Source organism: Homo sapiens, chromosome 8 (genome assembly GCF_000001405.40).
Source record: "Homo sapiens chromosome 8, GRCh38.p14 Primary Assembly".
In the NCBI taxonomy this organism is placed as follows: domain Eukaryota; kingdom Metazoa; phylum Chordata; class Mammalia; order Primates; family Hominidae; genus Homo; species Homo sapiens.
Genome location: NC_000008.11, coordinates 131,115,667 through 131,129,685, shown reverse-complemented (window position 1 = coordinate 131,129,685; position 14,019 = coordinate 131,115,667). Strand labels below are relative to the sequence as shown.

At 38.9% G+C, this 14,019-nt stretch overlaps 1 long non-coding RNA gene across 2 annotated transcripts in view; it reads right to left on the bottom strand.

The window, feature by feature from the left end:
- LOC105375760 (uncharacterized) overlaps positions 1–14,019 on the bottom strand; it is a 257,327-nt gene that overhangs the window by 167,163 nt on the left and 76,145 nt on the right. The gene's annotated exons all lie outside the window — the stretch shown is intronic.

The window sequence follows — 14,019 nt, the reverse complement described above, 5'->3', positions numbered from 1 at the left end:
TATCAACTGAGAAACATTTCAATATTAAGCCATGCACTTCACTCTTAAAATTGTATATTTTTAAGCTTAAGTGTAACGTGTTTAGTATTATCTCAATTCTTTACATTGGCAAGTTGGTGATCATTGAATGGAAGAAATGTGAATATGTTATTTTTATAAATGTATTTAATAAGATTTATACACATAAAATTATTATATTTGAATTTTACTTAAATTTTCATATTAATTCATTTTAATGATATTTCATATTTCTATTTTAATAAGCAATATTAAATATTATATAAGCCAGGTATGGTGGCTCATGCCTGTAATCCCAGCACTTTGGGTGGCCAAGGTGGGAGAATGGCTTGAGTTCAAGAGCTTGAGACCACCTGAGCAACATAGTGAGATGCTCATCTCTATAAAAAACTAAAATATTAGCTGGGTGAGGTGGCACATACATGTAGTCCCAGCTACTCTGGAGGCTGAGGTATGAGAATTGCTTGAGCCCAGGTGGTAGAGGCTACAGTGAGCCATGATCCCACCTCTGCACACCCAGCCTGTGCAAAAGAATGAGACTCTGTCTCAAAAATTAGAAATACTTTGTAAGACAATTTTTGAAAATGAATGCAAAATAATTTTAATTTTGTTAATATTTACACTTTTAGAAATATAATTTACATTTTAGTTTACATTTAGTTTAGTTTTTCTGAAAATATATTTAACTTGTATATACTTCAAATAGAACTCTATTTTATATTTTAATTTTTTAGAATATTACTGCCAGTAGAACACAAATAACATAAATATTTTATTACAAAAGCATCATTATTTTGCTGAAATAAAGTAAACAGAATACACAGACATGAACAATAATTCTGTTAAGTTGCTGACATATTTTGCTTACTTCCTTTCTTTGTTCTACTCCTATTCCTTGGGGTCATAGAAAAGATACCTATCCTTCATTGTAACTGACAGGCCCTGAAATATTTCAAGAAAGTAACTGTGAACCCGTGAACCTTCTCTTCCCCAGGTCTATTTCAGATTAAGCATATACTCTGCATCCATTGTCCATTCAGTCACATCACTATTATTTCAAGTGAAAATCCCTTTAAGAATACCTGCTGTGTGTTGGACATCATGTCTAAGCACTAAGCACACAGAAATTAAAACAGATAAAGACGTCAAGTTACAGCAAAGAAAACCTTGAGCAATCTCTTTTGATATTTGATAGCTATTTGATAGTTATTCCTTTTAAATGCAGTGCCAAGAAGTGAGCAGCCTATCCAGGCATAAGAATGCACCTATTTCCCTTTTATTCATCCTTTTATTAAACAGCCATTAGCAACAACAATAAAATATTGCCTGCTCATGATGTGTCAGGAGACTTGGGGATTCTAAGATGGAAAAAACAGAATTATTATCCTTAAGGAGTTCAAGAGCAAATGACAGGGAGATAGACACAAATTCAACGTGTTAAATTCTATGACAGAGGCCAGTATAGGATGCTATGGGCATTTTCTGCCGACTCAAAAATAATTTTATTTTACTCCATTTCATCTTCAAACTACAACCTATGTAGCCACCTTGCTTATACTCGTTGTCACAACTTCCTCACCTCACTGAAATTTTTAATTCACCGAAATCTAATGTCAAGCCCACTTCCCACTTACACTGCCCTAAGCAAGCTCAGCAAAAATCTAGACCTAAAGCCAATGGCGTTTTCATTCCTTACCTTACTTTACATGAACATCTGCCTCCTTCTTAAAGTAACTTTTTCCTTTGGCTTCCACAACAACACATTCTTTCAGTGGTTTCCCCAAACCTCTGGCTAATCATCTGTTTCTTTTATTATTTCCTATTATTCTGCTCATCTTTTAAACCTCAGTCCTGTTAAAGCGAACTAAATATGGCCTGAGAAGGATTCCGTACTTCAGTATTTGAGTCCTTGTGGATGACCTGCAGCCTAGCTTAATAGGTAGACAAGATTGAAAACTTAACTTAGGTAGGAGTATGCACCTGCAACAATAGCTAAGTCTTGACCAATCCCAGCAGCCGTATTTCAACCATTCATACACTGCTGAGTGTTCAAACTGTGTTCAAATACGGCAAAAGCGGAGCTGTAACCAATCCAGTTGTTCTGTACCTCACTTCCGATTTCTGTACCTCATTTCGCTTTTTGTGTCTATAAATCTTCTTCCATTACATGGCTGCGCTGGAGTCTCTGTGAATCGGCTGTGATTGTGGGGGCTGCCCAATTTGCTAATTGTTCCTTGCTCAGTCAAACTCCTTTAAATTTAATTCAGCTGAAGTTTTTCTTTTATCAGTCCAGTGGATGTTTCCCAGAAATCTCTCCCTACTCTCCCTGGGTGGTTGCAACCATCAATATGCTGAATACTGGTGAATATGTGTCTGACCAAAATCTTTCTTCTGAGTTACGATGTGTATACCCAACTGCCAACTCAACACTTCTCAGATGTCACTCAGGCCCATTAAACTCAGGCTAAACCAATAAACAATTTCTACCCCAAATGTTTTTCTCCTCCTGCAAACCTTATGACAGCGAAGGAAGACGCCATTTACCAAATGTTGGTCGTTACCGTTGATGCTCGTAGTGCCCCTCATGTGTTTAATCAGCAACAACTATCAATTTCTGCCGCTAAAAAGGTTTCTGTCTCTCCATCCTACATCTGCTATTTGTGCTCAGACCTCTCTGTGGTTTCCAGCTGGTCTCCTGCTCTTCCAAAATGGCCTGCCATCTTTCAAAAATGCAAATCTGACTATATCACCTCATTGATTAAAACTTCTTAATGACTCTTATTTCCCTGACACATAAAAGAACAAAGAGTGTTGGGAAACAAGAAGAAGCTTGGAACTACAGGAGTATAAAGTTCGAAAGGAGGATAGTCATGTTCATAGAAAGCAAAAGCTTAGCACACACTAAGGTGGAATAAGGAGGTGGTCATTGGAGCATCCGTCTCCAAGGTCAGTAAAACAGAACTGAAATAGAACAGCTGCCAGTAAACTCAAGTTTTTATCCAGAACTTACAGGATTGGAGAAAATTACATCAGTTTCACTTCCACCAGTAAAATGGTGTTCTAAAGAGAAAATAAAAGAACACTTCTTACTGGTGCTTTGTTCATTATATCTGTTTAGAAATTTTGCAGCACGGCACTGAAAATTAAATTATGCCACTAGAGGCAGCAATATGAATGACAGTTACTTGGAGCTAACTGTTACAGTTGAAATGCTGAAAGCAACTAATGCATGAAATATTGCTATTGTAATAGAATCCATTTGTATGCAGCATTTGTCTTTAGAGGAATGAATAACCAATATCTTCTCTTGAGTGATACAAAAACCGTGAAATGCCATGTTATATGATTCCATTTATATGAAAGTCCAAAATGGGGAAATCTATGGCAATAAAAAGTTCCCACAAACATTGAAAATATAAAAATTTAAAAAAGAATAGTTCCTTAGGGCTGCGAAGGAATGGGTATAGACAGGTGATAGATAAAAGATTCGTGTTCTCTTTTTGAGTTGATGAAAATATTATAAAATTGACTGTCTTAATGGTTACAGATATCTGTAAATATGCTGAAAACAATTGAACACTTTAAGTGGATAAATTGTGTGGTATGTTAATCATATCTCAAAAAAAGCTGCTTTTTAAAAAGTGGAAATAATTTTATATGCTTGAAAGTAATAAAATTATAATATTTTCAAGTACTATTTTGTAAAAGCTTTATAACGTAAACTATCTTCCCCATTTGATTTCAGAAATTTGTTGTACTTTGCCTTTCCTATAGTCCTAAGTAAATTAAAAGTTTATAATCTGTAAACACTGTGAAATAAAATATCATTTCAAATAAGACATCTTTTTTTCACATTCATGTGTATGTCATAAATCCCTTATTTGGAACAAAAGCAAATAGTAAATAATTTTAGTAATAAAATTGTCATCTATCTTTTATTTCACTGAATAAATATTGAACAAATATTTTTAAGTGCAGATTTGAAGGAACCCAAAATTTTGAAACTGCCACAGTCCCAAACATGCCTTGAAATTTAAGGAGCAGATTTTGCTGTTTTTCTAGGGCTAGAGTCAGCCCACCTTAGAAAACTGACTGCTATTAACAATATTGAGGGCAGAGGCAGAAGTGGGCTGTGAGGAAGAACAGATCGATGGAGAATCAGGAGAGGCCTAGCATGTAACGGTGATGAGAATTTACCATGAACCAAGTGTGAAGAGGACCAAGAAGAAGGAGAGAGGGAGGAAAGAGGAGAGGGAAGGGGAAAGAGAGACCAAGTCAAGATACTTAGTTTCTAGTCTCAACTTTGATTAGTTCCATGGCTGCGGGCAAGTTGTTTTCTTCTGAGCCAGCCCAAGATATAATGCAAGCCACATGTGTAATTTAAAATTTTCTGGTAGCCATATTTAAAAAGTAAAAAGGAAAAGATAAAATCAAATTTAAATTGTTTCTATTTTAGCCCAATATATCCAAATTGCTACTTTTAATAATCAATTAACAATTATTAACAATATATTTCAAACTTTTTTCTTACTAAGTATTTGAAATCTGATGTGTATTTTATACTTTTGACATATCTCAATTCAGACTAGCCACGTGTGGCTGCTGGCTAAAGTATTACTCAGAGGAGGTCAGGGCCTAACTCTCCTTCTCAATGAAAAATTTTAAAAGTGGAAGTGTTCTGTGCATTCTAAGTGTTTTCCTTGCTCTGACATTCTCTGATTCTTACTAAGAGATTTAAAATACATCTAGACAAGTTATACACTCCTACACTTTGTGGTCTCTGAACTCCTCTAAGCCAAACAGGAATCATACATTCAGGAGGGGATTGTAAAGATGACTCTTCCTCATTATCTTTGATCTGTTGGCATCTTTTAGCTAGGAGACGTGAAGTTAGGAATTAGAGTCAGTGAAATTTCTAAGCCATATGGAATCTGACCCATAATCTTTCCCCAATTACACAGACATATTACTCACATCAAGCTTTGCTCTGCTACTTCAATTCCAGGTTAGCAAACCACAGCAAAAGCTGAAAACAGACACCACACTGCCCTTCAACATCCTCCATCCACACGTGTCCTCTCCATGCATAGACCCCACATTCTCCTACAGCAGAATCCGTTGTATGCATCTTTACACACCCCTCCAGAAATCACCAGAGGGCTCCTATGTATTCAGCTAAACAGACACCACCATCCAAGCCATTCTTGAACCCAAGGGATAAAACAGATTTTGTACAATCCAGAATCCTCTTCAATTCTGAAATGTTACCCAAAATCACTGGTGTGAGATGGTCACATTCTCTCTTATGCTTGATGACCAGCTAGTGTTATGACTCCTAGTGTGACCATAATGTTGCATGTATTTTAATTCTGCCCTACAGGAGGGCTTTTGGAGACTCTTTTTGTCTTGTCTGGAAACATATGCCCCTCTGTCTCATCATGCCATGAAACGTAAAAATAGAGGTACCTCTCAGTCCTCATTACTCTGAGAAGCAGGCATCATTCAGTCTAGTCTTAAATTTGGAAGAACTTTATGGTACATGTCTTGAGTTTAAAAGCTCTTTTTTAATGACTTTAGAGGAAATTTGGGAAATATCACTTGTAATAAGGACAACATGCAGTCCACCATACCTTTATTCCATAAGCATTTGTTGGCCATTTATTCTGTGCCTACTGCTGTGTTAGGTCCCAGAGATGTATATAATAATGACTCCTACCCAACATAATGTCCACTGGGATCTTAATAGGAAGGTGTGAATAGGAAGGATTTTCAGCCACGGAGGCGCATGCATTTGCTCACACACTCAGCATTGATCTCATTTTTCTACGTTGAAATATTATGAAGGGCATGATGACAGATAGATATAGATATAGATATAGATGTAATTTATGAGCGGAGAATGAAGCAAAAGTATATAGTCATAAAAGGAATAACAAATAATTTAAGTAAGCTCCCAAAGAGTGTACCTTTCCCCAGGGCAGGCAATATGGTAATGTGGAAAGCACTTTGTACTCAGTGGACTAGGTTTGAGTCTTAACGTTGGAGAGATCTCATAAGCTCTCTGAACTTGAGGTCTTCTCACTTGTAAAATAAAGTGATGATATCTGCGGTGTTCTTTTCCCCCAGTAGTTCCATGAGACATAAATAACATAAAAATATATTTTTAGACGGTAATACATGTTTTGAAAGAAAAAAAAAGGCCAGGGATGGTGGCTCACGCCTGTAATCCCAGTACTTTGGGAGGCCGAGGAGGGCAGATCACTTGAGGTCAGGAATTTGAGACGAGCCTGGCCAACATGGTGAAACCCCATCTCTACTAAAAATACAAAAATTAGAGAATGGTGGTGAGCACCTGTAATCCCAGCTACTCAGGAGGCTGAGGCAGGAGAATTGCTTGAATCTGGGAGGCGGAAGTTACAGCAAGCCAAGATCACACCACTGCACTCCAACCTGAGTGACAGAATGAGACTCTGTCTCAAAAAAAAAAGAAAAAGAAGGAAGGAAGGAAAGAAGGAAGGAAGGAAAGGAGGGAGGGAGGGAAAGAAAGAAAGAGGAGAGAAAGAAAGAAAGAAAAAGAAAGGAAGAAAGAGAAAGAAAGAAAAGAAAGAAAGAGAAAGAAAGAAAGAGAAAGAAAGAGAAAGAGAGAGAGGGAGAAAGGGAGAAAGAGAGAAAGAAACCTGGATGATATGCTTGGAACTGGCTATTGTTGAAGTGTTCAGAGGGGGTTGACACTGATATCTAAAGGAAAAGAAGCTGTTCTAAGCCATATAAAGATCAGAGTGGGGAGGACATAAGAAGACTGGGGAAAGTCCCAGGTGTTGAAATACAAAGCAAAGAGGACTTAGGGTATGGAGGAGCTATTGTAAAGGTTCTGCCATTGGAGCAAGCTCAGCATGTTAGAGGCGCTGAATGATGATCTTGTGTCTGGAGAAGAATGGGCAAGAACAAGCTGTGTCAATGTTTATGACACAGAGGCAGCCAGAAACCAGACCGCAGGGGGCCTTGTAGGGCCCAGGAAGGGGTTTGGATTTTATTATAACAGCAAAGGTCACTTGCCATTATTAAGCCTCAGAAACCCAACTGGATCAAAAGCAGAGGCATTAGGATGTTTCTCATGTTCTCTCTGTCTCTCTTTATTTTTATGTTCTCTCTCCCCGTATGCCCAAATTAAAACCTGTAGATCTTAAACTTCCAATAAAGAAGTAAATGATGCCCATTGAGGGTTTATAGAAAGGTCTTAAGGGGGTCTTGGTAGGGAAGGCAAACCATTTCCAGCTGAAAGTCATAGAAGGGCAGTAAAAGGAGGTGATCTCTGGGGTGAAATGCTAACTCCAGAAGCGTTGTGCTTCTACGGAGAGTGCAGCACATGCTTGGATTTAGGCAGACACAAGTTCAAACACTTCCCAGTTGAATGAAGTTGGGTAAAGTATCAAGCCACTGTGAGCCACCATCTCATCTGTAAAAATAGTACAGAAATATCTACTTCACAGAGTTGCAGAGATGATGAAATATGACAGCAAACATAAAGGAGAGCCTGGCCATGCCAGATGGCCAGATGCACCCCATCGACAAGCCAAGGGACTGTCTTTCTGCTTTGATTACCATGGTCTGCCTCTTCCTCTGCCCTTCTAGCCTGAGAGAATCACTGAATGTCCCTGTCGGCCAGTTTAGGACTGCAGTGAAAGAAGCCAAGATGCTGAAAGCCAATATCTGGCATATTAGCTCGTCTTTTGATGGCTTCTAGAATGCCAGCTTCTCTTCCCTTCATCTCCCTTCTGCCTCTGCTGAGAGAGGCTGGAAAAACTCCTAAGTTTCCCCAGAGGAAAGTGGGAGGAAAGTGGACACTCAGTAACCTCTGCCTGGATCCATTCCAGGCTCCAGAGAGTGTCCAACAGTGCCTTCTCTGGGGTCATTCATAAGTGTCTCTAATGTTCTCTCTGGCGTTTCCCAAACTATCTCAATCCAGTTGCCTGATAACTGGTTTTGCATAGAGGCTATGTGCCTTTCTCTTTGTTTTTCTTTAAAATGCTTTTTTTATTATTATTATGGTGTGAAGGGAAGAACTCCATAGTTACGAGTTTTTAATGTTTCATAGAAATCCAGAGCTTTTGATAGCAGTCCTCTAAGAAGTCAGTTGATAAACCCTAGTGTCCTGTAATGTTGGCATCGCATGGAGGATTAGATGTAAAATTTAAGTCTTCTCAAATGAGAAAGGAAATACAGAAAGTGTAAATTCTGTGTCCAAGACCACACAGTTTATTGAATCACAGTCAGAGCTAAAGCTGAGGTTTTCTGTCTCCCCATCTGTTGTTCTTTCCCTACACCTTGCTGCTTCTCTGTCTTAAGTAAGCATAGTAACAAAATAATAAATAAATCCACTTTAAATCCCTTGTGGAATCACTAGTAAAAAAAACTTGTCACGGCCCAGTGCGGTGGCTCATGCCTGTAATCCCAGCACTTTGGGAGGCCGAGGCGGGCAGATCACGAGGTCAGGAGATCAAGACCATCCTGGCTAACACGGTGAAACCCTGTCTCTACTAAAAATACAGAAAATTAGCTGGGCATGGTGGCCGGCACCTGTAGTCCCAACTACTCGGGAGGCTGAGGCAGAAGAATGGTGTGAACCCGGGAGGCGGAGCTTGCAGTGAGCCGAGATTGCGCCACTGCACTCCAGCCTGAGCGACAGAGCGAGACTCCGTCTCAAAAAAAAAAAAAAAAAAACTTGTCACATTGACGCTCCTTAATCAGAGTTGTACGAATGTGTGTGGGGATAACTCATGAAATGAAGACTGCAAGAAGAATGGTGTTTTGATATTTTAATAGAAATATTCAAATAACTAAGCATATTTGGGACTCATCCAATATCGCTGCAAGGAATTCCCTCTAGGAGTTCATTGGTCCGCTGTTGCTAAAATGTTCTTGAAGGAAAGAAGCAACGACCTGACACTAATGTTAATCCCATTGGTTAGGCAGATTTATTATTTTCTCCCATCTTTCTTTTCAGGTAGAGAAAGAGAGAGGAGGATATGAACAAAAGCACAAAAGTAAAAGTAGTACGTGGTTATCATGGATGGATAATAAAAGATATGGTAGGAAAAATGCAATCTATTACCTAGAGGATCCTGGGACTCAATCATTTGCAGACAAATCTAGGGAAAACAAGGTCGAAAGTAATTTTTGTCCCTGTGATTTTTGAGCTGGATAAAATAAGTGTTTAAAAATGGAGTCCTTCATTAAAAAAATCAAAAGGATGCAAGATATAGTGGAGGTTAAAGTGATTTATTGTATGAGAGCAGTTCTGGAAGGTGTTTATTTATAGGCAATTATACATATTCTCAACAAGGACAGTAATAGCCTGAAAGAAGACATGCCCCACATAGCTTCTCTGGGCCAGTTAGAGCCTATGCATTCTTTAGAGCACTGCTCTTCTTCTAGGCTAAGCCCAGAGGCATGAGGAGCCATAAGATGGACCACTGGGGCTTCCAGGTGCTTTCCTGAACTAGCTTAGGCTCCTTTCATGGCATCTCTGACCTCTTTGACATGTCACTGACAGCCCCCGGACCAAGAAAAGAACTTCCTTCCAGAAGCACTTTTTGCCCCCTTTTAACACGAGAGATATGAGGTCAGCTTAAAACTCTCTGGGGCATGGAGTGAGACAAACATTAAATACTAATGTTAACAATAATTAATCACAATGACTGCTTTTGTGGCAAACACTACATCATCTACTTGGGATTTTAATTTCTTTACTGTCACCAGTCCAGGCTACCTCCTCTCCAGCATTAATTACTTTATCAATACATCTCTCTTATCTCACTGCTTTTGTTCTTTCCCCTATGCTGTCTACCTTCTCACAGCGGGAAAGAGCATTTTAAGGCATAAATCCCATTGTATTATGACTTTGCTTAAAATTCTCAATGGCTTCAGATTGCACAAGCAAAAAATCTTACCACTCACTCACTCCATAAATTCCAGCCACATTGGACATCATTTTGTTCCTTAAACTTGACACACTCATCCCAAAGTGAGGACAATTGCTATTGTTCCCTCCACATGGAAGATATTACCCCTCGTTGTCCTGCAGATATCAGTTCAAAAGCCCCTTCTTCAGGAAGCCTTCTCTGATCACCTTTTGGCCATCTCATAATTCCTCTTCTTTGTTTTTGTTTTCTTCACAGCATTTATAACCATTTGAAATTATCGTATTTACGTACTTATTTGTTTGTGCATTATCTCTCCATTGCCTCTTCCCTATCCCAACCATGGCCATAAAAATACAAGCTCCATAAGAGCAGGCCTTCATCCAAATCCCCAGTGACGAGAACTCTGCTCAAAGCCCAAGGTGGGAGATCACAGGGCCCATGTTGGAACAAAGTTTGCTCGTGTCCTGCATTTTCACTGTGATCAGCTTCTCTCTGCCATCATCTTCACACAAAACAATTTTGAATCCAAACTCAGAGAGCCACACCAACTGAAGCCAGCTTCTTGTGAAGACAAAAGACTGCTACACAAGTCTGCCCTGGGTCTGTGTCCACAACTCACTGTTTAATGAACTTAAAGTTAAAGGTGCTGCCCAGTGGAAGATTAAGAGCTGCAGCTGCCCTTTGCCTCATTACACATGATCTGTGTCACAGAGAAACCCTACAGCAATGACCCAGAAAAGCTTTGAGGGGAAATTTTAAAAATTAATAAGGCTCATTAGAATGACCCAACAAAGTAAAAAAACAAAGATAGAAGACACATCCTCCTAGAACAGACTGCCTGCTGTGAGTTAATTAAAGTCTCTTTCCTAAAAGGTTTCAGTCCTTATTGTATGAGTGTCTTAGAGCACGTGTTCAAGACCACAAACACAATCTTTCCCCACACCCCCAAACCAGACACTAAAATAGAATAAATAATTCTCCACTCTCATCTCCTGCAAAGTCCTCTGCAGCAAGGAACCCCCATGAACCTCAGGGCCTCCTCTGAGATACAATTCCTCTTTACAAATGTTTCCTTCAGAATGAGTGGACACAGGATTCATTTCAATGATCATTCACTGAAACAGCCTCTCAGAGACCTGCTTTTCAGGAGATTCTTCTGATGAGGATAGTTAGTGTTTTCTAAATAACCTGCTTCAGCAACCTAAGAGCAGCTATAAAATATAATAAAGAAATCCTCAAAATGTGGGTCAAGAACAACTAGCATCAACTCAGGGTTCTCCAGGTAGACCACAGGCTGCTATCTTGAAATAGATCAGTAGAATTTTAGAATTGAAAAGAACATTGAAAATTCTCCAACCCCAGCATTTCCCAATGTATGTTAAACTAAACACGGGAAACTTAAGAGGTTATTAGGTGGAAAGGAGGGTTCAGGATGAATTAAGTGAAAAGAATGCTATGTTTTTGACTTTTAATTCCAGACTGGCAGTGTAGAAGAAAGCTGGCTTCACTCCCCCAGAGAAAACCAAAATCAGATATACAGTGCTCAGATTTTTCACAAGCAAGAACTCAGAACTCAGAGATGAGGGAAAGACCATTTTCTGTTCCCACAAAGGAGTGAAAAACCCAGAGCAGATGGTAAAGAGAATCAGAATTCCACATTTGGGATGACCCTCACCCACATTCTGCCCAGCAACAAATGCGTGGAAAATCTTCCCCCAATTCATGGTTTCTACATTGGAAAAAGTGAGATGGAGATGATCAACCAGCTTTCCTACCATCTTGGGTGCCCTGGCAGGAGACCCATCCCTTCCTTAGCGCACAGAAAACATTGTGACTACCTGAAGGAGACATATTCCTGAAAACAGGCAGAGACAAAGAAGGGAGGTAGGACCACCATCTCCAGCCCTGGAAATTCTGCTGTCTTACTTGGCCAAAAGAGGTCCCAAATCAGAGTGGCTGTTGAGCTGCACCATGCTATAGGAGTTACATCCTACAGGTCCTCTTGGCATTAACCCCTAGCCAGCCTTGACACACTGCCAGGAAAATCCCTTTGCGACCTCCCCCATTCAGGAACAGGCAGCTCTCTCATTGTTTATTAAAGCCAAGGCAAACCCAGGCTTATGCCACCACCTAGAGCCATAAAGGAGGCAGCAACCTAGCAGTAAAGATTCTCTAAGCAAATATATCCAATAAAAAATGAAACAAGCCTGACAGAGAAAACTACAATAAATTACTGATCCTTCACTGCAAAGACATAGACACATACCCACAAGAAATAAGAGCAAGCAGGAAGCCACAACCTCCCCAAAATGACAAGCAAAAATCCAGTGACTAATACTAAGACAGCAGTAATTTGTGAGCTCTCTGACCAAGCTTTCAAAATGGCAGTTTTAAGAAAACTCAATGATTTCTAAGGTAACACAGAAAATCAATCAGAAATTTATCAGAGAAACTTAAAAAAGAGACTGAAATAACAAAATAAAAATTCAAACAGAAATTGTGGAACTGAGAAACACATTTACTGAACTGAAGAATTCATTAGAGTCTCACAATAGCAGAATGTACCTAGCAGAGGAAAGAATAAGTGAGCTCAAAGACCAGTCATTCAAAAATACACAATCAGAGGGAAAAAAGAAGAATGAAAAGAAACAAACACTGCCTACAAGATATAAAAATTCCCTCAAAAGCCCAAATCTAAGAAGTATTGATATATAAGAGGGAGCTGAGACTAGGTGCTGTGGTTCATGTCTGTAATCCCAGCACTTTGGGCAGCCAAGACAAGAAACTCACTTGAGCCTAGGAGTTGGAGACCAGTGTGGGCAATACAGAGAGACCTCATCTCTACAAAAAAATAAAATTAGCCGGGTGTGGTGGCACAGCCTGTGTTCCCAGCTACTCAGGAGGCTGAGGTGGGAGAATTGCCTGAGCCCAGGAGACTGAGGGTACAGTGAGCCATGATCGGGCTACTGCACCCCACTCCAGTCTGGAAGGCACAGAAAGATCCTGTCTCAAAAAAAAAAAAAATGGGGAGCTGGAGCTGAGCATGAGCAAAGGAATGTTAACAGGAGTTTTTTGATCTGAAAAAAGAAAGACTTATGTGTAAAAAGCAAACTTTTCATGCAAAAAACTGACTGGTAAAATTAAGAGAACAAACCCAGGATGCTCTATTATTGTAATGGTGAGAGCAACCCATTCATAAATCTATTATAAAGTCCAAAAGACAAATATATCAAAAACAGTAATAGTTGCAAGAACTTGATAAGACATAGGTAATATAAAGGTATAAATGGAGGTAACTAAACGTCAAAACATGGGGGAAAAGAGTTCAAGCATTGAATTTTGTAGGTGTGTTTTGCCTTTGTTTCTGTTCTTGTATTTGTGATCTCTGATAAGTTGTCATCTTTTAAAAATAATTTGTTATATCTATAAAATGTTTTCATAAGCGTTTGTATAACCACAGTGCAAAAACATATAATAGACTCAGTAAAAATAAAAAGCAACCAACTAAAAGGTGCTGTCAGAGAAAAATCATTTAACCACAAAGGAAATCAGTAAGAAGGAAAGAGAGAAGTATCAAAGCAAACAGATAACAAGCAACAAAATGGCAGTAGCAATTTCTTACTTATCAGTAATAATGCCGAATGTAAATTGTCTCAATTCTCCAATTCAAAGGTATAGAGTGGCTGAATGGATAAAGAAACAAGACCCAACTATACATTGCCTTCAAGAAACCCATGTCACCTGTAAAGACACACATAGATCGAAAGCAAAGGGGTGGAAAAATATATCCCATACAACTGGAAGCACAAAAAGAGCAGAAGTAGATATAATTATATCAGATAAAACAGATGACCAATCTAAGATTATAAAAAGAGACAAAGAAGATCAATATATAATGATAAAGGGACAAATTCATCAAAAGTATATAATAATTATAAATATCTATGCACTCAACACCAGAGCTCCCAAGCATATAAAGCAAACATTAATAGATATAAAAGAAGAGATAGACTGCAATACAATAATAGTAACAGACTTTAATATCCCATTCTCAATAGTAAGCCAATCATCTAGACAG